Genomic DNA, 24,543 nt, shown 5'->3' on the forward strand with positions numbered 1-24,543 from the left:
CTTATGTGATAGAAATTCCTTCTCCTGGGTGGAATATAGACATGCACAGAACAGACACCTTGTCCAGAAGGTCTTTATATTCCTGGAACCCAGCCCACAGCCAGGTAAATAGCAGAGGCTCAACACAGGTTTTGAGTGTATAAATGAATGAATGAGTGAGCTTTTGTTACATGATTTTCGTGTTTATGTGCTATTTTCTTTTTTTGTAGATGGTTTTAAGAACTTAATTCGGCCGGGCGCGGTGGCTCATGCCTGTAATCCCAGCACTTTGGGAGGCCGAGACAGGCCGAGGCAGGCGGATCACGAGCCTGGCCAATATGCTGAAACCCCGTCTCTACTAAAAATACAAAAATTAGCCAGGCATAGTGGCATCTGCCTGTAGTCCCAGCTACTCGGGAGGCTGAGGCAGAAGAATCGCTTGAACCTGGGAGGAAGAGGTTGCGGTGAGCCGAGATCGCGCCACTGCACTCCAGCCTGGGCGACGGAGTGAGACTCCATCTCAAAAAAAAAAAAAAAAAAAAAAAAAAAAATAGAAAGAACTTAATTCAAAACCATGCATACATATGTGTGTGTATGTATGTATACAACTTTCTTTTATACACACACACCCATATATACATATATGTATACACACACACATAAGTAGAAAGGTAAGTAAAAACATAATTTTCTCTAGGTAGTATGATTATGGGTGTTTTTCATAAGCTTATTTGTAATTGTTTATATTTTATTACATTTAAAGTTCATTTCATTTAAAAATATTTAATTAAAAATAAAGATTGAATATATTCAAAGCATACAAGCTTACAACAATCAAATGAACACATCCATCACCACCCATGTTGTATATTAGATTCTCTGAACTTATAACTGAAAGTTTGTACTTTTTGACCATTTCACCATTTCTGCTAACCCCAACTTCCTGACAATCAGCATTCTACTCTCTGCTATGAGTTTGGTTTATATTAGATTATCTGAACTTATAACTGAAAGTTTGTACTTTTTGACCATTTCTCCATTTCTGCTAACCCCAACTTCCTGACAATCAGCATTCTACTCTCTGCTATGAGTTTGGTTTTCTCAGAGTCCACATATAAGTGCAATCATATAGTATTTGTCTTTCTGTGTCAGGCTTATTTCACTTAGCATAATGTCCTCCAGGTTCATCCAAATTGACACAAATGGCAGGATTTCCTTCTTTTTTATGGCTGAGTAATATTCTATTGTATATATGTACCACAATTTCTTTATCTATTCATCCATTGGTGAATATGATGGATACTTAGGTTGATTTCATATCTTGGCTATTGTGAATAATGCTGTAATGAACATGAGGTTATTTTCCCATTACTTTTCAAAAAACCATGCATTACACTATTGATCTGGAAATGTATAATAAATGCATTTTTGAAAAGAAAAAAATTATTTCTAGGCTCTTGATGTTTTTGACAATCTAATTTAAAGAGCTGAGTTACTTTTTTCTACATGACTTTTAAAGATTGTAGCTTTAGAATATGTTTTAAAATAAAATAAATTAAAATGCTATTTCAGAAGAATATTTATCCATGTATGTATACAGGAGGAAAAAATTTAAAAAGGAAGAATATTTAAAGATAAGGCAAAATATGTATCATATAATGTGGAGTTAAAATCTTAGGATATAAATTCCTGGGAAAATGTATATATAATACACCAAAATATTAATATTAATGCCATTTATTTCTGAATTTTGAAGTTACAAGTAGTTGTATTTTTTCTTTGTACGCTTCTTATTTTTCAAAATTATATATAAGCACACAATTGCTATTATAACCTGAAAAATTATTTGTAGAGCTTATTACTTTTTACGAAGGAATGTCTTTCTGAAATATACATTTGAACTTTGCTTTGATTACTAATTATTTAGTAAAATATTAATAAGCAGAATTTTACAATTTATTAGAGTAAGAAAAATTTACTGTCAGGAAACAAAACAAAATAACCAAGACATTCTTCAGTTGGTAAATGGATAAATTGTGGTACATCCAGACAAATGAATATTATTCAGTGCTAAAAACAAATGAGCTATTAAGCCATGAAAAGACATAAAGGAACCTTAAATGCATATTGCTAAGTGAACGAAGCCAATCTGAAAGGGTTACATACTGTATGATTCCAGCTGTATGACATTGTGGAAAAGGCAAAACTGCAGTGATAATAAACAAACAAACAACAATGGTTGTCTGAGGTTGAAGAGAGGACGTGATGAATGAGCAGTTAAACAATTCTGTATGATACTATAATAGTGTGTGGACATCACTCTACCTTTGTTGAAACCTCTAGAATGTACAATATCAAGAGTGAGCGCTAATGTAAACTATGGGCTTTGGGTGATAATGAGAAGTCAATGTTGGCTCATTGATATTAACAAATATACCCCTCTGGGTGGGATGTTGATAGTGGAGGAGACTGTGCATGTGTAGGGAGAAGGGAGAATAGGAGAACATTCTGTATTTTCTGCTGGATTTTGCTGTAAACCTAAAGCTGCTCTAAAAAATGAAGTAAAATAAAAAAAATCAGTGAATGATATTCAGTATCCCTATTTTCAATGAATTATATTTGGGGCTTTCTTTTGGAATTTTTGTTTGCTTTTGTTTTTAACTTGCTCTGAAAAATGCTGCATTGAGAAAGCATTGCACAGTTGCTTCTTAAATATTCAAGAATGTATTCCTCCCCTCAGCTGAGATATTTGACCTTCAGCCTCTTTGTGTTAGAATATAAGAACGGAAAGTGTAATTGTCCTAGGAAATCAAGTAAACATCTTATTAGAAAATCTTTTGAGAAAATTTTGGCACAAGTTGGTGTTCTGGGTGTTTGAAATGCATATAAAGAATGGCTCATATATAAACTTTGTCCATGTGCTATGATGGGCTTAATTTGATATCAGAATGGGTTTTAAGAAATATATATATTCAGCATCTATTCACCCTATTTCTGGTGACGACACCCTGATTTTCCTCTGGAGAGCTACCTGTTGCTTTACTCTCAACCGATGTGGGCCTCCACCCCCAAGATCAGGCCCACAGAAAGTGACACAGACCCAATCTAATTGGAGCACTCCAGTCCCTGGCCACAGTGATTGGCTCATAAATGGGCTCAATGACTGCTCATGGCAAGAAATATCTTAAGTGACTAGAATTAGGTGAGGTGTGTGTGTGTGTGTGTGTGTGTTTTGCAAAGTGTAGAAAAGCATGAATTCCAGAGCCCTATTGCATAGGTTTGAATCCCAGTTCCCCACTTCCACCACCAACCAGCTAGGTAAACTTGGAAAAGTCACTCTTCCTCTCTGGGCTTCAGGCTTCAGTCTCTTTCCTGTAAGATGGGGTCAGTACTACTTACCTCATGGGGTTCTTATGGGGATTGAACAAGTTAACCTTTGTGGAGCATGGCACGGTGTTTGTCTCAACATTTTCACTTGGATACATAACTGGCATCTTAAACTTGACATACCTCCAATGAATTCTCCTTTCATAGTCTTTCTCCACTTGGTAAACGACAACTCCATCCTTCCAGTTGCTCAAGCCAAAAATCTTGGAGTTGTCTCTGACTACTCTCATTGTCTCTTTACTCTATCGGCAAATCCGGTCTGTTGTACCTTTAAAATATATTCAGAATTTAATTGCATCTGCTGATGCCAACCCAGTGCAAGGCACCATCATCTCTTGTCAGGATTATGGCACCATGGCTTCCAAAATGGCCTCGTTGCTTCTGTCCCTGCCCCACTTCCGTTTCTGCTCAACAAACAGCCAGAGTGAGCCTGACAAAACACGTCGGGACATGTCACTCTTGTGCACCAGCGCCTGCCTATCTCCGGGTCCCAAACACACAATTAAATCTCTATCCTCATCTCCCACATATTTCCTCCTTGTTCTTCCTGTGCCATGCACCTGTTACTTGACCTCTGCTGTTCTCTGAACACACCAGGCTTGCTTCTGCCTTAGGGCCTTTGCAATTGCTCTTCTCTGTCTGGAGCCCTGTTCCCCCAGATTTCACCTCACCTTCTTCAGATTCTTACCCAAGTGCCACCTTCTGAGTGAGACCTTCCTTGGTCCTTTACCCAAAATTGCAACCTTCCCCCAAGTCTTTATCCTGTTCCCTGCTGAGTTTGTTTCTTAGCCCTCATCATCACCTCGCATGTGCTATGGTTTACTTATCTTGTCTATTATATGTCGATTCCCCTTTAAAACATAAGCTTCTGGCAACCGAATTTGTTTAACAGCTATAAACCCAGTACTAAAATAGTTCATGGTGCTCAGTAAATATTTAATGCACAAATGGCTGAATAAGGGGATGGAAGTCAAAAGAATTGCATTACAGTGTGATACTCATCAACATACAGTTGTGCAGTGCCCTCTAAGCACCAGGGACTTGCTAGCCACTGAGGACGTACCTGAGACAAAGACTGTTTGGCATCCTTCTATAATCTAGTTGGGGATGGAGGTAGGGTGGCAAAACTGTCCCAAAAAATCAGGAAGTATAGGATGCATATGGTTATCCATGATACGAGCTTGTAATCCAGACATGAAGGCCTGTAAAAGATGTCTCAGATTTGGAGTGTCTAAACTGTCACCTGAAGGTTAAGGAAAAACAACTGGATGAGGGAGGTGGGGCAGTGGGAGAGCTGAAAAGTCACCAGATCTGTTAAGCTGCGGTCAGACCTAAGGGAGGATGTGGCTGAGAAGCTGACTTTTGATGAACTCCTGTCTTTACTCTGATGAAATAAACAAGGAAGCCTAGAATGAAGGGCAGGCAGCCCAAGTGAATTAAAAGCATTTTGAGGCATCTTGCCAAGTTCTATTTACTCTTATTTCATTAAAAATACAGAAAGAGTAGTAAATACAAGATTCAGCCTTGCTCGGTTTCAGGATGTGGGAGGAGAAATCATGCAGCTGTCTTACATGAATCTGCTAGAAAGAAGCAGGTCACAGGTGTGATCTGTGTGGCATCAACGAGCATGCTTTTCTGTTGTTTTTGACATTCAGCATTTATCTATTCTTCTTTTCGTGATGGTATCCTGACTTGAGGAGGCACAAAACATATTGAGGAGACAAAGACCTCCCTAAAAAAAAAAAAAAAAAAAAAAGACCTCCCTAAAAAAAAAACAGGTTAACCCTGAGCTTCCTGGTGACACTCAAAGCCTTCTGACCAGAAGAAGTGTGAAGAAAAGGGGAGAACAATCCCTGGACCAACCAATGCCCACACGTTGCTGCATCCCACGCCCAGTGCCCATGTCCCACTGCCGTTGCCAGCATGCCCAAGAGAACAGCTGAAGGGGATGCTATAGTAGATAAGGCCAAGGTGAAGCATGAACCACATAGTAGATCTGCAAGTTGTCTGCTAACCCTGCCCCTCCAAAGCCAGAGCCGAAGCCTAAAAAGACCCCTGCAAAGAAGGGAGAGAAAGTACCCAAAGGGAAAAGTTGACGCTGGCAAGGAGCGGATAACCCTGCAGAAAATGGATATGCCCGAACAGACGTGGCACACAGAAAGCCAAAGGTGCTGGGGGTGCCGAGGGAAATGTGTGCATTTTTGAAAATTGTGTACTTCTGGTGGCTGCACAGTTTGAAATACTACTTTTTATCAATTTTTTTTTTTTTGAGATGGAGTCTTGCTCTGTCACCAGGCTGGAGTGTAATGGTGTGATCTCAGCTCACTGCAAACTCCACCTCTCGGGTTCAAGACATTCTCCTGCCTCAGCCTCCTGAGTAGCTGGGACTACAGGCACGTGCCGCCACACCCAGCTAATTTTTTGTATTTTTAGTAGAGACAGGGTTTCACCATGTTGGCCAGGATGGTCTCGATCTCCTGACCTTGTGATCTGCCCGTTTCGGCTTTCCAAAGTGCTGGGGTTACAAGCGTGAGCCACCGTGCCCGGCCCTACTTTTTTTTTTTTAATCAAGTTTTATAAAAATCAGAATTTTGTTTTACTCTTTTTAAAGCTATGTTGTTAGCACACAGAACACTTTATTGTTTTTTTGGGGAAGGGGCATACGTCACTAATAGAATGTCTCTGAAGCTGGATTGATGTGGGGAAAACACTTTTCCCTTCTAGTTTTTAATTTTTTTTTTATTTTTAGTAGAGATGGAATTTCACCATGTTGGCCAGGCTGGTCTCGAACTCCTGACCTCAAGTGATCTGCCCATCTCGGCCTCCTCAAGTGTTGAGATTACAGGCATAAGCCACCATGCTCAGCCCCCTTGTAGTTTTGAAAGACTTCCTCTTGGCTCCCAGGAGGAGGGATTCCCTGACTTTGACCACATGGTCACCTTGGCACAAAAGCTTTGTGGTATGGAAAAACAAAATCATTCATTTTTAAATCCTCTTCTTCCTTTCTACCTTTCAGCACAGACTTAACTCCCTTAAATCCAGACACCTGTTGGGACCTGACCCCCAATAATTGGTTACCAGTGTGTTAGGCAATCTGGACTTTCCAGTGATGCCACTGAGATGCTGCCCCTCCAAAGAGCAGCGGTTCCGATTCTAGACTGTGGATCTTCAGATAACCCTGACTTTCAGGAAGTGAAATAAAAATGGCAGAATTTAAAGTTGTTAAACAATGCGCTAAATGTGAAATGTCAACCCTCACTCTAAACTTTCCCTGTTTAGAGCATCAGTCGAAAGCTTCATGGGTTTTAGAGTGGCTTTCTGATTTTTGGTAGTCCATGGAAGAAGAGAGTTTGAAAGTTGTTGTATACTGTTAATGATTGTCTGCCCATGTCCTGCTGAAATACCATGAGTGTTGATGGACAGTATCTTTTTTTTTTTTTTTTTTTTTTTTGAGACGGAGTCTCACTCTGTCACCCAGGCCGGACTGCGGACTGCAGTGGCGCAATCTCGGCTCACTGCAAGCTCCGCTTCCCGGGTTCACGCCATTCTCCTGCCTCAGCCTCCCGAGTAGCTGGGACTACAGGCGCCCGCCACCGCGCCCGGCTAATTTTTTTTTGTATTTTTAGTAGAGATGGGGTTTCACCTCGTTAGCCAGGATGGTCTCGATCTCCTGACCTCATGATCCACCCGCCTCAGCCTCCCAAAGTGCTGGGATTACAGGCGTGAGCCACCGCGCCCGGCCGATGGACAGTATCTTTAATAAAACTGAATACAGTTTGGCTTGGGGAAAAAAAAGCCCTCCTGACAGCTGCCACAGACCCGTACCCAAGAGCATGTTTCCAGAAGTTCCCACTATGGGGCATAAATCCCCTTTGAGAACAGACTGAGTCTGTCAACTGTAAGCCTTTATTTTCACATTTACAATATGAAAATCATCACATGTTTACATGATGGCAGTGTTGTGAGGGTACAGTTCACAAAGGACCTGACACTCAACGATGTTAGCAATTATTGTTGAAAGAAAAAAAAAAACAAGAATTATGTATGAATTCCAGCATCTCCCTTTTCTCCCTTCAACATTGTGCCTTATTTCTCAGCAAATGAGCCAACAGATGCTTGTTGATAGATGGTTTTAGCCGGTGAATCCGATGAAGACCTTGGATCTGTTGGTGAATGTCCAGCCTGTTGTCACTGAGTTTGAACTGTGGGAGAAGGAGCTGCTTATTCTGCAGGCGTTGCTTGAGTGCCAACCACATACTGGGCATGGTTCTGGTGCTAGGGACAGAGAACTTGGTATTTCTGGTGAACAAAGGCAGGCAACGGCCCTGTTGGCATGGAGCTGCCCTTCTAGTGGGGGAACTGAAGAGAGGAGGCTCCCCCATTTCTAGAAGCTTTCCCAGGGAAATTGGCTGCTTTTTGCTTGACATGTACACTCACATGTTCTTGCAGCAAGCCTGAGCCACAGGGAGTTACATGAGATGCTCAGGCTCAAAGAGCTAGTGGGGGTGGAGAGCTGGTATTGGAGTCTGGGCTCTGGTGGTTTGGGAGAGGACATATGGCCTGGAAGGAGCCACGTATACACAGTGAAGCAGAAAGAACAGAATTTCTCTCTCTCTATATATATATGTATATATATGTTTACAATATCAAATAATATTTTTTAATCATTTTTAAAGCTAACAAAGATTAGGGGAAAAAAAGGCAAGATACTACCAAAATGTTAGTGGTAGTTGGGCTACGAGTGGGAGCATTTTTCTTCTTTGCTCTATTTCCACTTTTAAAATGTAGTTTTTTGTTTTTTTTTTAAAGACAATCTCCCTCTGTCGCCCAGGCTGGAGTGCAGTGGCACGATTTCAGTTCACTGCAACTTCCACCACCTAGGCTCAAGTGATTCTCCTGCTTCAGCCTCCTGAGTAGCTGTGATTACAGGTGTGTGCCACTGCGCCTGGCTAACTTTTGTATTTTCAGTAGAGACGTGGTTTCACCATGTTGGCCAGGCTGGTCTCGAACTCTTGACCTCAAGTGATCCGCCCACCTTGGCCTCCCAAAGTGCTGGGATTACAGGCGTAAGCCACCGGGCATGGCTAAAATGTGATTTTTTTTTTTACTTGAATGATTTTAAAATGACTAATGAAGTTGACCAAAGAAAGAAGAACATGTGTGCTTTTTATTCTAGAACCAATGTTTCTACTAACCAGCTGTGTGGCCTGGAGATAGTCATGCCTCTTGTCCCCAGGTGTCCCCAAATCTGTTGTTCTCCCCGCCGTTCTGTTTATATGCTGTTCCCTCCTTTTTGCAAACCTTGCTTGCCCTTCAACAGCCTGCTGTGGTGTCACTGTCTTTTCAAAGGCTTCCTAAAAACTACTCCGGGCCAGGTGTGGTGGCTCACGTCTGTAATCCCAGAACTTTGGGAGGCCGAGGCGGGTGGATCACCTGAGGTCAGGAGTTCATGACCAGCCTGGGCAACATGGTGAAGCCCCGTCTCTACTAAAAATACAAAAATTAGCTGGGCACAGTGGCACGTGCCTCCCAGCTACTCGGGAGGCTGAGGCAGGAGAATCGCTTGAGCCCGGGAGGCAGAGGTTGCGGTGAGCCGAGATTGCATCATTGCACTCCAGCCTGGGCAACAGAGTGAGACTCCGTCTCAAAACAAACAAACAAATAAACAAACACCACTCCGATTCCTTCTGATTCCCCCTGTTTGCTACATCACCACTGCAATATTAATGCTTATTTGTTGACTACTTGCTAGGGGCCAGACATTCAGCTCTGTTCCCTATACACATTACCTGATTCAACTCTCAAAAGAATTCAATGACGGCCACAGATATTTTTCAGCCTGTTCGACAGATGAGAAACTTGTCCTTCAGAGAAGCTTTACTATTTGCCCAAATAGCAAAGCCCACCCAGGTCTACCTGACCACCAAGTGCTCTTAAGTGCTGGGCTATACAGGGATTCCTCAAGGCTAGTTTATTTCTGTGCCCTCAATACTTAACACAGTACCTGGCCCATGGTGGGTCCTTAATATTTGTTGAATAAATGAATATCAGAATATGCCATTTTTCAAGCCTCAGTGCAGTGTAACTATGCACAAATAAGTCTGCAATAATGATATTACCATATGTTGAGTGTCTAGCGTGTTCTAGGTGTGTACATTACCAATTAATCCGCACTTCAAGCTGATGAGTAGACATTGCACTGCACCTATTTTACAGATGAGAAAATAGAAATTAAAAAATATTGGTAACTTGCCCCAAATCATACTACAGCAACAGGGTGTGGTAGGAGGATCTGGGTAGTTCCTTGTGCATTATCTTCTTCCCCCCAAATATACCACAGTGTTAGACGTTTGTAGCCAAGCTTCTTGCCTGCAGAAAGATAAAATGCAAAATGAGAATATTCACAAACCAAGTGATGTAGCAGAAGTAAGGGGCTATAGGGTTCCTTTAGGTTTTATTTTCTCAAGTGTTTATTACATTTCACAGAAAGAGAAACTAACATCTGAAGGTGCCAAATCCCTGGTGATTAATAATCAGAAAGGAAGACAAAACAAACTTGAAACTGTAACTGTGTGAGTGTGGAAAAACCCACATTCTCAGCTACCGTCAGTGAGAGGGCCAACTGGTACCAGCCTTTGGCTGGCAATATCTTTCCAAATTATAAGTGCTTGTGTCTTTTGACCCAGGAAGTCCACTTTTAGGAGTGTATGTACTTGGACACCTAAAAAATATGCTGCCACAAGAACATTTGTTGTAGCATTCTGTGCTCATTTATACAGGTCTAGTTAAGTAAACTCTAGCATACTATACAGTAGAATTCTAGGGGTCATCTAAAAGAATTGGGTAAGCAACCTGTGCTGGTGTTTAATGTCTTCAACATACATTAGTATGTGAGGAAAGCCAGGTACACAACAGGATATGTCCTATGCTATAATTTTTATGAAACAATGAAGGTCTCTCTCTCTCTCTCTCTCTCTCTGTATGCTGCTTGTTCATTAAAATGGGAAGAGGGGAGTTCAGGGAAGAAGAAAGAATTGTTTTCTGAATCTAGCCCTTTGATCTATTTGACATTTATTCCACGTGTGTTTATCATATTTATTGTCAGAAACAAATAGCCTTTTCAAAGGGGTGTGTTTTGTGGCAGGACTCAGATGTTTCATTTCACAAGCTGGAAAACTATAATTCCTAATGGTTCAGTTTCATAAACAGCAGGTGGCAAACCTTCTTGCATGGTAACTGATTTTGAACCTTGCACTATAAGGATCATGAAAGAAAGTACATGCCCAGAACAAGAGAGCAGAAGAAAGGAGGGAACACAGCAAGGTCAGAAATTAACAGAAATGAATCCAGAGGCAAAACCCACATTTCTCAGTCATTCACTAACTGGTTTGTTCAACCAGCATTTATAGACATCAGATTGATCCCAGGGTACTAAGAGAATAAATTTCAATTGCTGCCAACCTAGCCTTGTGCAAACTCCTGGTCTCCTGAGGAGGGGACACCCAGAAGAAATTCTCAGAGTGTGCATTCCTGGGCTAGGGGGTCCAGACCAGAGCCTCTGAGATGGGTATTGTCTCAGGAGATCTGTTGGCATCTATGTTATTCAGCGAGAAGAGTGTACAACAATTTGCAGATCGAACCTAGCTTGGGAGCTGAGTGGGGTTAGAAAAGGCTTCCTGAGGATGTCTCATTGAAGCTGAAACATGAAGGGTCAGTAGGAGTCAGCAGGGTGAGGGCATGGCATCTGTGAAGTCCCAGAGGCAGAGGAGAGCTTGGGCTGGTTGGGGACAGAGAGAAGGCCAGCAGGAGTGGAGAAGCATAGGAGTTGTTGGGGACAGAGGTGCGCACGCACCATGGAGGCTGGAGAAGCAGACGTGGGCCAACAGACAGGCTGCTTGTCATGTCCAGAGCAAGAGGGGAGGGAGTCAGAATTATGTTGTAAAAGTTATATCTTTGAAAGGGGTGACTTGGAAAAAAAACCCCACCAACCTGACTGTGGTATAGACAATACATGGAGGAAGGCGGAAAGAGTGGAATTGGGAGAATGGTGGGGAAGCTCTTCCTGGGTGAGAAAGGAGGTGAACTTTCTCTTGGACTAAGTTAGTGGCACTGGAGATGAAGAAATGGATATTTAATGAATAATTTGCAGGCAGTAGGAACTGTCGTTCATGTGGATATGTGGAACGAGGGAGAGGCAAGAGTCAAAGACTGGGAAAATTCTAGCTTGAGTAACTGCAGGAGATGTTGGTTCTTTTCACTGAAATGCAAAAGACCAGAAGAGGAGCTGGTTTGACAGAGAAAGATTAAAAGTTTAGTTTTGGACAGAATGAGTCTGCATTGCCTATGAAAGCACTCAAATGCAAATGTTGTCTTTTCTAACAACTCTTTGGTCCCTTCAGGACCTCCCAGCCATGAGCTCTCTCATCTTTTCGTGATCTCTCACCCTTCTTTTGCCCCCACTTCAGTTTCTGTGGGACTTAGATGTTATGGACCATTATTAAAATCCCATCCTTGAGGAGAGTGGATGGCCTGAATCCAGGAGTTTGAAATCAGCCTGGGCAACATGGCGAAACCCCATCTCTACAAAAAAAATCCAATAAGTTGTGGTAGTGCACATCTGCAGCCCCAGCTACTCAGGAGACTGAGGCAGGAGGATCGCTTGAGCCCAGGAGGTTAAGGCTGCAGTGAGCCACGGGCTCAGCACTGCATCCAGAGCCTGGGTGACAGAGCAAGAGCCTGTCTCAAACAAAACAAAACAAAACAAAAACAAACAAACAAAAACCAAAAACAAAACAACCCATAAAAACCAAAAACAAAACCCATTCTTGCTTAAAGTTTCTACTTCCCTGACGTTTTTTTCTCCGTTATATTTACTGGTGTTAGGGGCTGAATGGTGTACACCCCAAATTCATATGTTGAAATCCTAACCCTCAGTACCTTAGAATGTGGCTGTATTTGAAGATAGGGTAATAGCTTCAAAAAGGTAATTAAGTTAAAATGGGGTAATTAAAGTGAGCTCAAATTCACTATGACTGGTGTTCTTATAAAAACAGGAAAATTGGACACAGAGGAGTTCACCGGGAAGACCACGTGCAGACAGAGTGAGAAGACAGCCACTTACAAGCCAAGGAGAGAGGCCTCAGAAGAAATCAGCCTGGTGACGCCTTGATCTTGGACTTCTAGCCTCCAGACCTGTGAGTCAATACATTTCTGTTGCTTAAGCCACCCCATTGTGGCACTTTGTTATGGCAACCCTAGAACACAAATACACACAGCAAACCCCAACCCTGTCAAATCCAACTCTGCTCACTTTCACCCTTCTGTTTAAACAGTGGGGAGTGGCTGGGCAAAAGAACGCAACCTACTAACCGACCTTTTAAAAAATTCCTGACCACTTGATGATACCCTGAGAACCCACAGTCCATTTGCTCTCCTGGTCTCCTTCCAGGTCTACCAGCACCCCACCAACTCTCAGAAGATGACCTTTTCTTCTCATTTCACTGAAAAGCAGCAGAAAAGTACATCCACATCATCATCACCAAATCCATGAACCTCCCAACCCCCAAAGCTGTGTTTTCCATCTTTCTTCTGTGAGGTGGTGGAGCTCCTACCCACACTCTCACCTGTGCTTCGGATACCTCTCACCAATATATGAGTCCAGGAGTTCAAGACCAGCTTGGGCAACATGGTGAAACCCTGCCTCTACAAAAATAAATAAATAAATAACTGCAAAAAATTAACCAGGCCCATGGTGGTGCGTGCCTGTAGTCCCAGCTACTCGGGAGACTGAGGCAGGATGATCGCTTGAGCTCAGCAGGTCAAGGGAAATTACTGGAGCAATTGCCAATTGTCGCCTGCCTACTGGGTCATCCCAGCATCCTACAAACATACTGTGATAATCTCAACTTAGAACAAAATATTCTCTCCTGACTGCCCAGCATCCTCTAGCTATGGCTTTATTTCTCGATTTCATTTTACAGAAAAGCTCTCCACACACACGCAAACCCCAGCTAACTTACTGATATCACTTATCTTCTCACATACTCTCCTAAACCTGCTGTGGGTGGGCTTTGTCCTCATCTTTCCTCTAAAATGATTCCTCTTGTCACTATCATCAATAACTTTCAGGGCACCCTTCCTCTTGTCTCAGGGATCATCCTTCCCAGTTCTCTTTGCTGAAGCTCTCTCATCTTTCTGGCCTCTGTCACAGGAGTAGCCCATGGCTGAGACTCTGAAACTCTTCTGTTTCTGCACACACTCTTCACATGATCTTATATATACACTCTTGGCTTTAAGAACTGTCCATATCTAAGGTCTCCCTTATTAGTGTCTCCAGCATTAATCCCTTGCCCAAACTCCAGAAGCTTATACCCAAGTGGCTCCTTGATGCCTCCTGTTGGGGGTCTAATAGACATCTCAAACTTAGCACATCAAAAACCAAATTCTTGATTCATGCCTCTTCCCAAGACCAAATCTACTTCACCTCCCGTTTTCCCATCACTGTAGATTGCAGTGCTTTCCTTCCTTTGGTCAGTTACACAAATAAAAAATCTTGGCATCATCTTTGACTCATCTCTTTCTTGCAAATGCTACATCCAATTCATCAGCAAATCCTGCTGCTGCTACCTTCAAACTCTATTCAGAATCCATCTTTTTTTTTCTTTGCCACCTTCATTACTGCTACTACAGCCATTGTAACTGTTCTCCATCCTTATCCTCCTACAATTTATTCTTAATACCAAAGCCAGATTGATCCTTTAAAATAATATGCCAGATCAAGTCATTTGGTGACTTGTATGGGTAAAAATAAAATGCACACGAATGGGTTAAAAATAAAATCCAAAAACAGGCACATAGACCAATGAAACAGAATAGAGATCTCAGAAATAAGACTCACATCTACAACCATCTGATCTTTGACAGACCTGACAAAAACAAGCAATGGGGAAAGGATTCCCTATTTAATAAATGGTGCTGGGAAAACTGGCTAGCTATACGCAGAAAATTGAAACTGGATCCCTTCCTTACACCTTTTTCAAAAATTAACTCAAGATGGATTAAAGATTTAAAATGTAAAACCCAAAACTATAAAAACCCTAGAAGAAAATCTAGGCAATACCATTCAGGACATAGGCATGGGCAAAGATTTCATAATGAAAATGTCAAAAGCAATTCCAACAAAAGCGAAAATGACAAATGGGATCCAATTAAACTCAGGAACTTCTGCACACCGAAAGAAACTATAATCAGGGTGAACAGACAACCTACAGCATGGGAGAACATTTTCAAAATCTATCCATCTGACAAAGGTCTAATATCCAGAATCTACAAGGAACTTAAACTAATTTATAAGAAATAAACAACCCCATTAAAAAGTGGGCAAAGGACATGAACAGATATTTCTCAAAAGAAGACATTTATATAGCCAACAAACATATGAAAAAAAGCTCAACATCATTGATCATTAGAAAAATGCAAACCAAAACCACAATGAAATATCATCTCATGCCAGTCAGAATGGTGATCATTAAAAAGTCAATAAACAACAGATGCTGGTGAGGTTGTGGAGAAATAGGAACACTTACACTGTTGATGGGAGTGTAAATTAGTTCAACCATTGTGGAAGACAGTATGGGGATTCCTCAAAGATCTAGAACCAGAAATACCATTTGACCCAGCAATCTCATTACTGGGTATATACCCAAAGGAATATAAATCATTCTGTTATAAAGATACATGCATGCATATGTTCATTGTAGCACTATTCACAATAGCAATGACATGGAATCAACCCAAATGCCCATCAATGACAGACTGGATAAAGACAATGTGGTACATATACACCAGGGAATACTGTGCAGCCACAAAAAGGAACGAGATCATGTCCTTTGCAGGGACATGGATGGAGCTGGAAGCCATTATCCTCAGCAAACTAACACAGGAACAGAAAACCAAGCACTGCATGTTCTCACTTATAAGTGGGAGCTGAACAATGAACACAGGGAGGGGAACAACACACACTGGGGCCTGTTGGGGAGAGTGGAGGGAGGGAGAGCATCAGAAAGAATAGCTAAAACATGAGGGGCTTAATACCTAAGCAATGGATTGATAGGTGCAGCAAACCACCATGGCACACATTTACCTATGTAACAACTCTGCACGTCCTGTACATGTATCCCAGAACTTAAAACAAAATAAAAAAGATAAAAAATAAATAAAACACACAGTCCAAAAAGTCATCCTGTCTTACAGAGCTATGGGTGATCTGGTCTCCTGCTACTTTCCGAACTTCTGTTCTGTTTCCCTCAACCCTCTAGCCTAACTACAATTGGCCTCCTTGCTGCTCTGGAACAGGCCAAGAGCTTTTCTGCCTCAGAGTCTTTGCACCTGCCATTTCCTCTGCTTGGGAAATGTTTGCCCCAAGGGAGTTGGGTGACTTGATCGCTCACATTACTTAGGTCTCTGCTTGAATGTCACAGATGTTCTCTTAATAAAGAAGAGGCAAGAAAAGCCACTTTATTATTTATTAAACTCCCGCATAGAGTGCAGTATTATTACTGTGTGCCAGACCCTGCTTCAAACACATTCCATGGACTATAAAATTGCATCTCTGAGCAGCTCCTAGAGCTGGTAGTAACAACTTACATTTACTGGGTGATTACCATGTGCCAGGTATTGTGCTAAACACGTTGTAGATATTAACTCACTTAATCCTCGTAACAATCCCATGAAGTAGGTACTGCTACTATCCCGGCTTTACATCTGAAGTACAGAGAGGTTAAGTAACTTGCCCCATGTCATCCAGCAAGAACTAAATTTGAACCCAGAGCTTAGCCACTGATGCCTCTTGAGAGAAGGAGTCAGACTTAAGTTGAGTCTTTAAAGGTGGTTGACCAGGCATTTGTCAGAGTTAAGAAAGAGAGGTAGGACATCCTTTTCCAGGCAGAGGGCATTGTGTGCACACACGTATAGAAGCAGGCAGCCCACCCTCATGCTTTCCAGGAAGCAAATGTGGCTCAGGTGTAAAGTGCCCGGTTGATGAAGGGAGTTAGCGGAGGGAGTATAAGGATGTACTGTCTGCCCCCTTAGGACACCTGCAGAGGATTAAGGTGGCTGTTTCTCCCTGGAGGTGGAGTGGGTGGGTCACTGCACAGGAGCCTATAGTTGTTGGTCTTTTAAACTCTTATTGGTGTAACCAGCCACGGAACTCTGAGGCAAGGGGTTGGGGGTGGGAAGGGAAACAGAGAAAAGGCAAGTGAAACAGAAGGGGAGGTGCAGTTTCAGAACCCAGCCAGCCTCTCTCTTGCTGCCTAGCCTCCTGCCGGCCTCATCTTCGCCCAGCCAACCCCGCCTGGAGCCCTATGGCCAACTGCGAGTTCAGCCCGGTGTCCGGGGACAAACCCTGCTGCCGGCTCTCTAGGAGAGCCCAACTCTGTCTTGGCGTCAGTATCCTGGTCCTGATCCTCGTCGTGGTGCTCGCGGTGGTCGTCCCGAGGTGGCGCCAGCAGTGGAGCGGTCCGGGCACCACCAAGCGCTTTCCCGAGACCGTCCTGGCGCGATGCGTCAAGTACACTGAAATTCATCCTGAGATGAGGTGGGTTGGCGACTAAGGCGCACCGGTGGGCACTGCGGGGACAGCAGGGCCCCGCGCGCAGGGAAGCCGCCCGGATCGCCCGGAACCGGGCATCTTCCGTGGCGGGTCAGCCGAGAGCCCGCCGGGTGGTGCTGAGTAGGGAGTCCCGGGCTCGGGGCTCCGCGGGCCGCTTTCAGGAGCAGCTGGCCTTGGCACCGAGCGTGCCCGCGGGAGGCGGGGGGGGGCGCTGCTCGGTGGCTCTGCTGCGTAGCCGGTGAACACTTGGCACCGATGCCCGCCTTCTGGGCAAGGTGCCCTGAGCCCAGCCCCTCGCCGGGCTGCAGCCCACCCTCGGCGCGCTCAGCCCGCTTCACCGCTTCAGGGACGGAATAGAACTCGCAGATGCAGGGTGTCGCTGACATTTTCAACTTTTTCTGCGGTTTCCGCCCGCTGTCTCTGACCCGAAAGTGCCCCCGGACGGTTACAGAGGACACTTAAGTGGTTTGCAAAGCCTGTGGTAGGGGAGGAGGGTGTAGAAGGGCCAAACCACGGAACTTAGTTTTATTCATTTATATAAAGCAGCACTCCGATTCTTTTTGCGCGGCCTGAAATGCATGTGACCAGAGAAGTAATTAACAAAACAATGTCAACTTCTAAAACCGAGACATTACTTAGATGATAAGGCGCAGCAACTCGGTGAATCTGTACAAACCTTGGAAAAAAAACACATTAGTCTATGGGACCTTCCAGTTTTCTCATGCTCCTTTCCAGCTACTAACCTCTCCTAAAGGGAACAACCACTTTTTGGATTTGATTCCCAGGCCTCGCTTTCACCGGGAAATTATCGTTGCTTGTAAAACAGAAGAAGCCGGGAAGGCAGGCAGGGGGAGCTGCTACTTTACACTCTGTGCTTTGGGATAGCAAAATCCCGCATTTAAGCAATCCGAGGAAACGAGCAAATAGACCTCCCTCGCCTCTCCGAGCACACTCAACAGTTCCGGTTGCAAAATGTTTGCCTCCTGGGCTTCCCAGCGTCCCGTTAGTTGTTCTATTTACACATAATTAGATACTTAATGGAGAGAGAAACTAGAAGTTGAGGCGTTCCTCCAGGCTGTATTGTAAAGTATGAAGTGAAATCCAAAATGAAATGGTAATGTTAGAAAGCAACCTCATTAAAAAAAAAAAAAGTAACACTGGTCTTGAAGATCTTTCAATGTGAGTACATAAAGATCTATCTCATTTCTTTTGACAGCCCATAGTATTTCATAAACTAGATGTAACCATTTCCTATTGACAGGAAATTAGCTTGTTTCCAATTTTTCAATCCCATTCATTCATCCAACAAGTATCTGTTGAGCACCCACTATGTTCCAGACAGTGATCTAGCTACTGATGACACAAGAGTGAATGACGAAGTTCTCACTCATGAAATTTTCACCTTAGTTGGGAGAAACATGATGCAATGAAAATCTTCATACATACATTGTGTGTACATATGGGAGTATTTCTGTAGGATAGATTTCTAGTGATGAAACTGCTGAGTAAAAGGGAGAATTATGCATATTTTAAGTTTTGATTTTTCCAAATTCCAGGTATTCCATATATACTCCAAAATAGTTGTGCCATTTTACTCTCCCATCATCAGTCTATCAGAGGGGATGCTTTCCCACAATCTCTTGAATGCTGAATATTTTCAACTTTTTTACTTAAGAGAAAAAAGAGCATCTAATTGTTCCCTCAGTATCAGTGAGTCTAAGCATCTTGTATATGTTTATTTGCCATTTATATTTTTTTCTGTGATTTTCCTGTCCAGATACTTGATACTTTCTATTGAGCTGCTTATTTATTTCTTATGGGAGATTTTTATATATTTTAGATAATATTCTCTCTCTCACACACACACACACACACACACACACACACACACACACACACACACACATACAGTCTTACAGCCACATCCCTGAAATCTTGACCTTGTGAACATGTTTTACTGGCAGCACTCTGGACTCGATCATTGCCTTGAGACTATTTCTTTTTTGATATTCTTTGGAAAGACTAACAATGACAGTTTTATTTTCAAACCCAACAAATCCTGGCATGGAAATGTTTGCTCTTGATTCTGCTTTTAAAAAAATAAAGAATTATTTTCTCTCTTTCTTTCTGCACCTTATCAGAAACAGCTAAAAGAAGTGAGTTGGGCCAGGCACTGTGGCTCACACCTGTAATCCCAGCACTTTGGGAGGCCCAGGCAGGTGGATCACTTAAGGTCAGGAGTACAAGACCTGCCTGGCCAACATGCTGAAACTCCGTCTCTACTAAAAATACAAAATTAGCCGGGTGTTGTGGCGCGTGCCTGTAATCCCAGCTACTCTGGAGACTGAGGTGGGAGAATCGCTTGAACCCAGGAGGAGGAGGTAGCACTGAACCAAGATCCAGCCTGGCCAAGAGAGTAAGACTCCGTCTCAAAACCAAACCAAACCAAACCAAAAAAAGAAGTGAGTTGGCACTTTCAACATTCTGCCTGGAAATCTCCTTACCAAACCTATAAGATCATTAGGTATATTTTCTGCACTTTGTATTGTGACAGGTGACAGTGTTACCAAACTTTTTACCAGGACATAATAGGGTCTGCCTTTCTTCTAGTTGCTAACAATTTCCCCCAAGTCCATCTTGCCTGCACTAACAGTCTCCTTTAGACCTCTCCTCTCCTGCCTGTCACACATTCCTAGTACTAATGCTACAGTATAGTAGTAAGGGTCTCCAGAGAAACAACATTTATATAACATAATATAAATACATTAATAGAGAGAAAGAGATTTTAAGAAATTGGCTTATATCATTGTGAAGTCGGGCAAGCCCCAAATCTGCTGGACAGGCCAGCAGCCTGGAGACCCAGGGAAGAGTTGATGTTGCAGCTGGAGTCCAAAGGCAGTCTCTGGCAGAATTCTCTTTTACTTCTGGGACCTTGGTCTTTCTCTTAAGGCCTTCAACTGATTGGATGAGGCCCACCACATTATGAAGGGTAACATGCTTTACACCGAGTCTCCTGACTTAAAATCTAAAAAATACCTTCACATCACAACTAGATGTGTTTGACCAAATATCTGGATACCATGCCTGGGCGAATTGCCACTTAAAATTAATCATCACGTACATGTTTTAAGGTTTTGTTACACAAGACCTCACTTCCAAGTATCACTTTCTGTTTTGGTCATCAGTTGCTGCATAATAAACAACCACCCTAAAATTTAGTGACTTAAAACAACAATCATTTATTGTCTGCCATGGTTCTGTGGTTTGACTGGGATCAGCTGAGTGGCCTGTTTCACTTGGTGTCAGCTGGGGGTGTAGGCATCTGCAACATTGTCTTGGCAGGAACATCCAAGATGTCCCACTTAACACGATGGCTCCTGGGCTCAGCTGGGCTGGTCAGGCCTCCCTTCCTCTCTGTGTTGCCACACGGCCTCTCTCTATCCATGTGGCCTCTCCATATGGTCTCTCCCTGGTGGAGGTGAATTTCTTCAAGGTTTCTAAACTCTCAAAAGTGGAGCCTGGCAAGCCCACTCAAAGCTTCAGATCCACAACTGGCACAGCTTCCCTTCCACAGATTCTATAGGTTAAAACAATCACCGGACCAGCCCAGATTCAAAAGAAGGAGAAACAAACTCCACCCCTCCATGGAGGAAGTAGCAAAAATAATGTAGACAGTTTTTACCCTTTACATCTGGATTTGTTAGCTTTTCTGTTTTCATTTTCTTCTGGTCTTTCTTTTGTCCTTCTCTTACACTTATTTTATTACCTTTTATCAATTAGCTTTTAAGATGATAAAAATCTAATACATGCCTCCTGGAATGTCTTCTTGAGCCTAGGGACTTTTGTTTAATGATATATCTTGAGGACCTAGAATAGTGCCTGAAATACAATAGTCATTAAATATTTAGCTGAATTAAATGAATGGTATATAAGCCAGGGTATTAAAAATAACATAAACAAAGTTGTAATAAATATACTTCCCCAGTGAACGACCTAATACCATTACTCCCCAAACCCTCAATTTCTGTCTTGAGCATAGAAACTGTTAATTTTTCCTTTGTGTAGTAGGTCCTTAGTATTTCTTTAGAGGTTGTAGCACTTTATCTTCCTCACTGTTCCTTTTCCTTGGTTGTCCTTTTCCAAACATCTCTCAACAATTTCTCCCAAGTCCATCTTGCCTGCACTAACAGTCTCCTTTAGAACTCCCCTCTCCTGCCTGTCACACAGTCTTAGTAATAGTGCCACAGTATAGTAGTAAGGGTCTCCAGAGAAACTCACTTTCTGCAAGTTTTTTAGTGTGGGTAGGTGAGTATTGAAGCTTGTTCTTGGCGTTACCAGGTTGGTTCTTTGAGTTGAACCAGGGGCATTACATGCGGAATATTCCTGAACAGATCACCTCTGGTTCTGCTGTCTCAAGGGCCACACACAAGAGCTGCCTTCTGACCAAGATGTCTCTGGGCACATGAGACCTGAAATACACATGGCCAAGACTCAACAAAGCGTTTGCTGACTGTCAGAGCTGACAGCATCTCGGTACTGTGGGAGGGAGCCCAGTGTCTGGTGATAGTCAGGACGGACCCAGGTGATGTCAGGGGTGGGGTGGGGCCTGCAGGAGGGAATGGAGAGCCAGCACCTAGGGGAAGCTGGGAATTTAGGAAGATATCCAGAGAGTGTAACTTCAGTTCCACTAATCTCACCTGGGTGAAAACCAGCCCTCTCCATGGATGATGGTGATTGCAGGTACTGACGATAGCTGCAGACTGCTGGTGGTCTAGGCAAGCATGCAGGGATGGGAGCAGGCATTTCTGAGAGCTCCCCTTATCCCTGCCCCAAGACAAGGTGGGGGCCCTGTGGGGAAGGACTATTTTATTCACTTCTGCATCTCCAGTTGTCTAACACATTGCTTATCACCTAACAGTCTCTTAATAGAAGCTTGCTATATTGAGCTGCCTTGAGTCCACATCATGCTGGTTGAACATAAGTAGAAATTGTGGGAGACTTAATCAGAGAAAATCTTTCATCTGTCTTACCTTACGTTCTAATGATCACTTCTGTGCCCACAAGGACCATCTTTTCTGATTCATGTTCATGTCGATTTCTTTTTTATTTAACTTCCTCTTCAAAATTTCTGGCAGGATTTCTTGGGAGCCAATTCTCCATTTTTACTTCCCCATGCCTCCCATTTTAATGACTGTAGGATTTTCTCAGGGTCTACTCAGCAAAACTTGTTAGTACAACATGAGCAAAACAGCAAATTTATGCAAACACTTAGCAAAGACTTAGCTGTCTGCCTAATGCTAGGGTGAGACATGGGAGATTCACAAATGAAGAAACACAAGCATTGATCTCCAGGATCCTGCAGTGGGAGGTATGCGGAGGACCAACCTGGGAACAGAGCAACGCAACACCATGTGATCTGTAATGAAAAAGAGGCCTGTACACAGCCAAGAGGTCACTGAGGAAGGAGCCATTGCTTCTGTGCAGTTAGTGCTGCGCTAGATTCTGCAGGGATGTAAGAAATGTACCCCTATCAAACAAGAAAGACTATGTGAATTGCTGAATATGTGAGTGGAGTACCAGCACAATGCCATGGAGATGCAGACGTGCCCCATGTGGTGGGGCAGAGTCAGGAAGCACTTTAAGAAAGAAATAGCATTTCAGGTCTTCCTTTAAAGGTAGAATTTCAACAAGAGGGTGCTCTGGAGAGTGTGTGTTACCCTGCTGAGAAAATCCTGGCGGTCAGGTAAGATGCTACTGCCAGGGAAGATTGGCCAATTGATTGACTAAACCCTTAAAGGTTTGGGGATCTTGGGGAGGATTCTGCTGGTGAGAGGGTCTGGACTTCCTCTTGGTCTGTCCACAGCTGGACCTTCTCAGCACACAAGAGACTATGAGGGTGACCATTTTGCACAGGACAGAATTCCAGCATGTTTTTCCCCTGGAGTGATGGAATGACCACCTGCTCAACATCAGTGTCCTCACTGAGACCATGAGATTCAGTAGAGTGCTGGAAAGCTTCATGCTTACCTGTGTCTTCTTAATGCTTAGTGTTATGATTGAAGGCTTCCTTCAGTCCTACCTTTTGTTCTGGGGTTCTAAGAATCTTAGGTGCAGGCGAGGCACGGTGGCTCACACCTGTAATCCCAGCATTTTGGGAGGCTGACGTGGGTGGATGACGAGGTCAGGGGATTGAGACCATCCTGGCAAACATGGTGAAACCCCGTCTCTACTAAAAATACAAAAATTAGCCGGGTGTGGTTGCGTGCACCTGTAGTCCCAGCTACTCAGGAGGCTGAGGCAGGAGAATCGCTTGAACCTGGGAGGCGGAGGTTGCAATGAGCTGAGCTCACGCCACTACACTCCAGCCTGGGTGACAGAGCAAGACTCTGTCTTAAAAAAAAAAAATCTCAGGTGCACCTGAGACAGATTGAATGTGGAAGGGGAAGTGAAACAGGCCTTCCAGGTGTGGGGCCTGGGTGCTGCTATAGTTACAAATGGGGAAGTGAGACTATAGGTCTCAGTTACCTGTGGAAGGAAGGGTAGAGTGGAGTACTTACGCAAATTAGCTAATTCTGGGAGCTTGGGGTGCTACCAGGGTATCAGGGAGAATACAGCCAGGGAATAGAATCTTCTTGAAGCAAAGGCTGTTTGGAAGCCCCCAGAGTGGATGAAAAGGCTCAGTGGGAAACAACAGATATCAGGAGAGGGAGAAGAAGATACCTATTTCTATACCTTTTGGCCTTGTGTTTTGCTTCAGACACTGTTCCCAGCAAGGTCAGTGGAACCCACTGCTCAAAACACACACTTGCTCCTTGTTCTGGTGTCATAATAGCTCTGCAAGCAGTGGTGGTGTTCAGCCTGGAGAACGTTCCTTTTCTTTTTTTTTTTATCACAATAAACACTCATGGCTTCTCTGCTTCTTCCTTTCTTCTTTGTCTTAGGACTCTTGAAAAACAGCTGCCAAATGTCAGTTTAGATATTTTGGAGGGAAAAAAGTTGGGAATCAATGTTTACAGGTTGCCTGCAATGTGCTGGAAACTACATAGTTGGTTCTTTTTAAACTTTCTCTGAATCCTGTCAGGAAAGTTCCAGCAATCACATCTTAGTGGGTCCGGAATTCGTGGGTTCTTGGTCTCACTAACTTCAAGAATGAAGCTGTGGACCCTCGTGGTGAGTGTTACAGTTCTTAAAGGTGGTGTGTCCAGAGTTTGTTCCTTCTGGTGTTGGACATGTTCGGAGTTTCTTCCTTCTGGTGGGCTCGTGGTCTCGCTGGCTTCAGGAGTGAAGCTGCAGACCTTCACGGTGAGTGTTACAGCTCTTAAGGCAGCGCGTCTGGAGTTGTTCGTTCCTCCCATCTGGAGTTGTTCGTTCCTCCTGGTGGGTTCATGGTCTCACTGTGCTCAGGAGTTAAGCTGCAGACTTTCGTGGTGAGTGTTACAGCTCATAAAAGCACTGTGGACCCAAAGAGTGAGCAGCAGCAAGATTTATTGCAAAGAGCAAAAGAACAAAGCTTCCCCAGTGTAGAAGTGTAGAACGGGACGCCAATGGGTTGCCAGTGTTGGCTCCCC

General features: G+C 43.4%; 2 protein-coding genes across 3 annotated transcripts in view, besides 6 other annotated features; both read left to right on the forward strand.

Moving 5' to 3' along the window:
* BST1 (bone marrow stromal cell antigen 1) overlaps nt 1-12,486 on the forward strand; it is a 71,109-nt gene extending 58,623 nt beyond the window's left edge. Inside the window, exon 9 of the mRNA XM_011513878.4 lies at nt 12,420-12,486. Coding sequence (XP_011512180.1) covers nt 12,420-12,471 — 52 coding nt within the window. The 3' untranslated portion in view covers nt 12,472-12,486. The remainder of the gene's footprint in view (nt 1-12,419) is intronic.
* Nucleotides 9,820-9,909: an enhancer, noted in NCBI's record as "active region_21344". NCBI's record gives its function as "activates an Ori minimal core promoter by ATAC-STARR-seq in GM12878 lymphoblastoid cells {active_cell/tissue: GM12878}" and the evidence as "EXISTENCE:reporter gene assay evidence [ECO:0000049][PMID:35858748]".
* Nucleotides 11,942-13,141: an enhancer, noted in NCBI's record as "CDK7 strongly-dependent group 2 enhancer chr4:15775252-15776451 (GRCh37/hg19 assembly coordinates)". NCBI's record gives its function as "activates an origin of replication core promoter dependent on BRD2, BRD4, P300/CBP, MED14 and CDK7 cofactors, with strong dependence on CDK7, by STARR-seq in HCT116 cells {active_cell/tissue: HCT116}" and the evidence as "EXISTENCE:reporter gene assay evidence [ECO:0000049][PMID:35650434]".
* Nucleotides 16,426-17,068: an enhancer, noted in NCBI's record as "H3K27ac-H3K4me1 hESC enhancer chr4:15779736-15780378 (GRCh37/hg19 assembly coordinates)". NCBI's record gives its function as "activates a minimal SCP1, AML or CMV promoter by ChIP-STARR-seq in naive H9 embryonic stem cells {active_cell/tissue: H9 hESC(naive)}" and the evidence as "EXISTENCE:reporter gene assay evidence [ECO:0000049][PMID:30033119]".
* Nucleotides 16,480-16,979: an enhancer, noted in NCBI's record as "active region_21345". NCBI's record gives its function as "activates an Ori minimal core promoter by ATAC-STARR-seq in GM12878 lymphoblastoid cells {active_cell/tissue: GM12878}" and the evidence as "EXISTENCE:reporter gene assay evidence [ECO:0000049][PMID:35858748]".
* Nucleotides 16,641-24,543, forward strand: part of CD38 (CD38 molecule) — a 74,905-nt gene continuing 67,002 nt past the window's right edge. For both annotated transcript variants that reach the window (NR_132660.2, NM_001775.4), the window contains exon 1: nt 16,641-16,960. Coding sequence is in view for 1 of the 2 variants with exons in the window: in NM_001775.4 (NP_001766.2) it covers nt 16,728-16,960 (233 nt within the window). In the remaining variant the exon portion in view is untranslated. The remainder of the gene's footprint in view (nt 16,961-24,543) is intronic.
* Nucleotides 17,110-17,159: a silencer, noted in NCBI's record as "silent region_15301". NCBI's record gives its function as "represses an Ori minimal core promoter by ATAC-STARR-seq in GM12878 lymphoblastoid cells {active_cell/tissue: GM12878}" and the evidence as "EXISTENCE:reporter gene assay evidence [ECO:0000049][PMID:35858748]".
* Nucleotides 17,350-17,399: a silencer, noted in NCBI's record as "silent region_15302". NCBI's record gives its function as "represses an Ori minimal core promoter by ATAC-STARR-seq in GM12878 lymphoblastoid cells {active_cell/tissue: GM12878}" and the evidence as "EXISTENCE:reporter gene assay evidence [ECO:0000049][PMID:35858748]".

Source organism: Homo sapiens, chromosome 4 (assembly GCF_000001405.40).
Source record: "Homo sapiens chromosome 4, GRCh38.p14 Primary Assembly".
NCBI classification, from domain to species: Eukaryota; Metazoa; Chordata; class Mammalia; order Primates; family Hominidae; genus Homo; species Homo sapiens.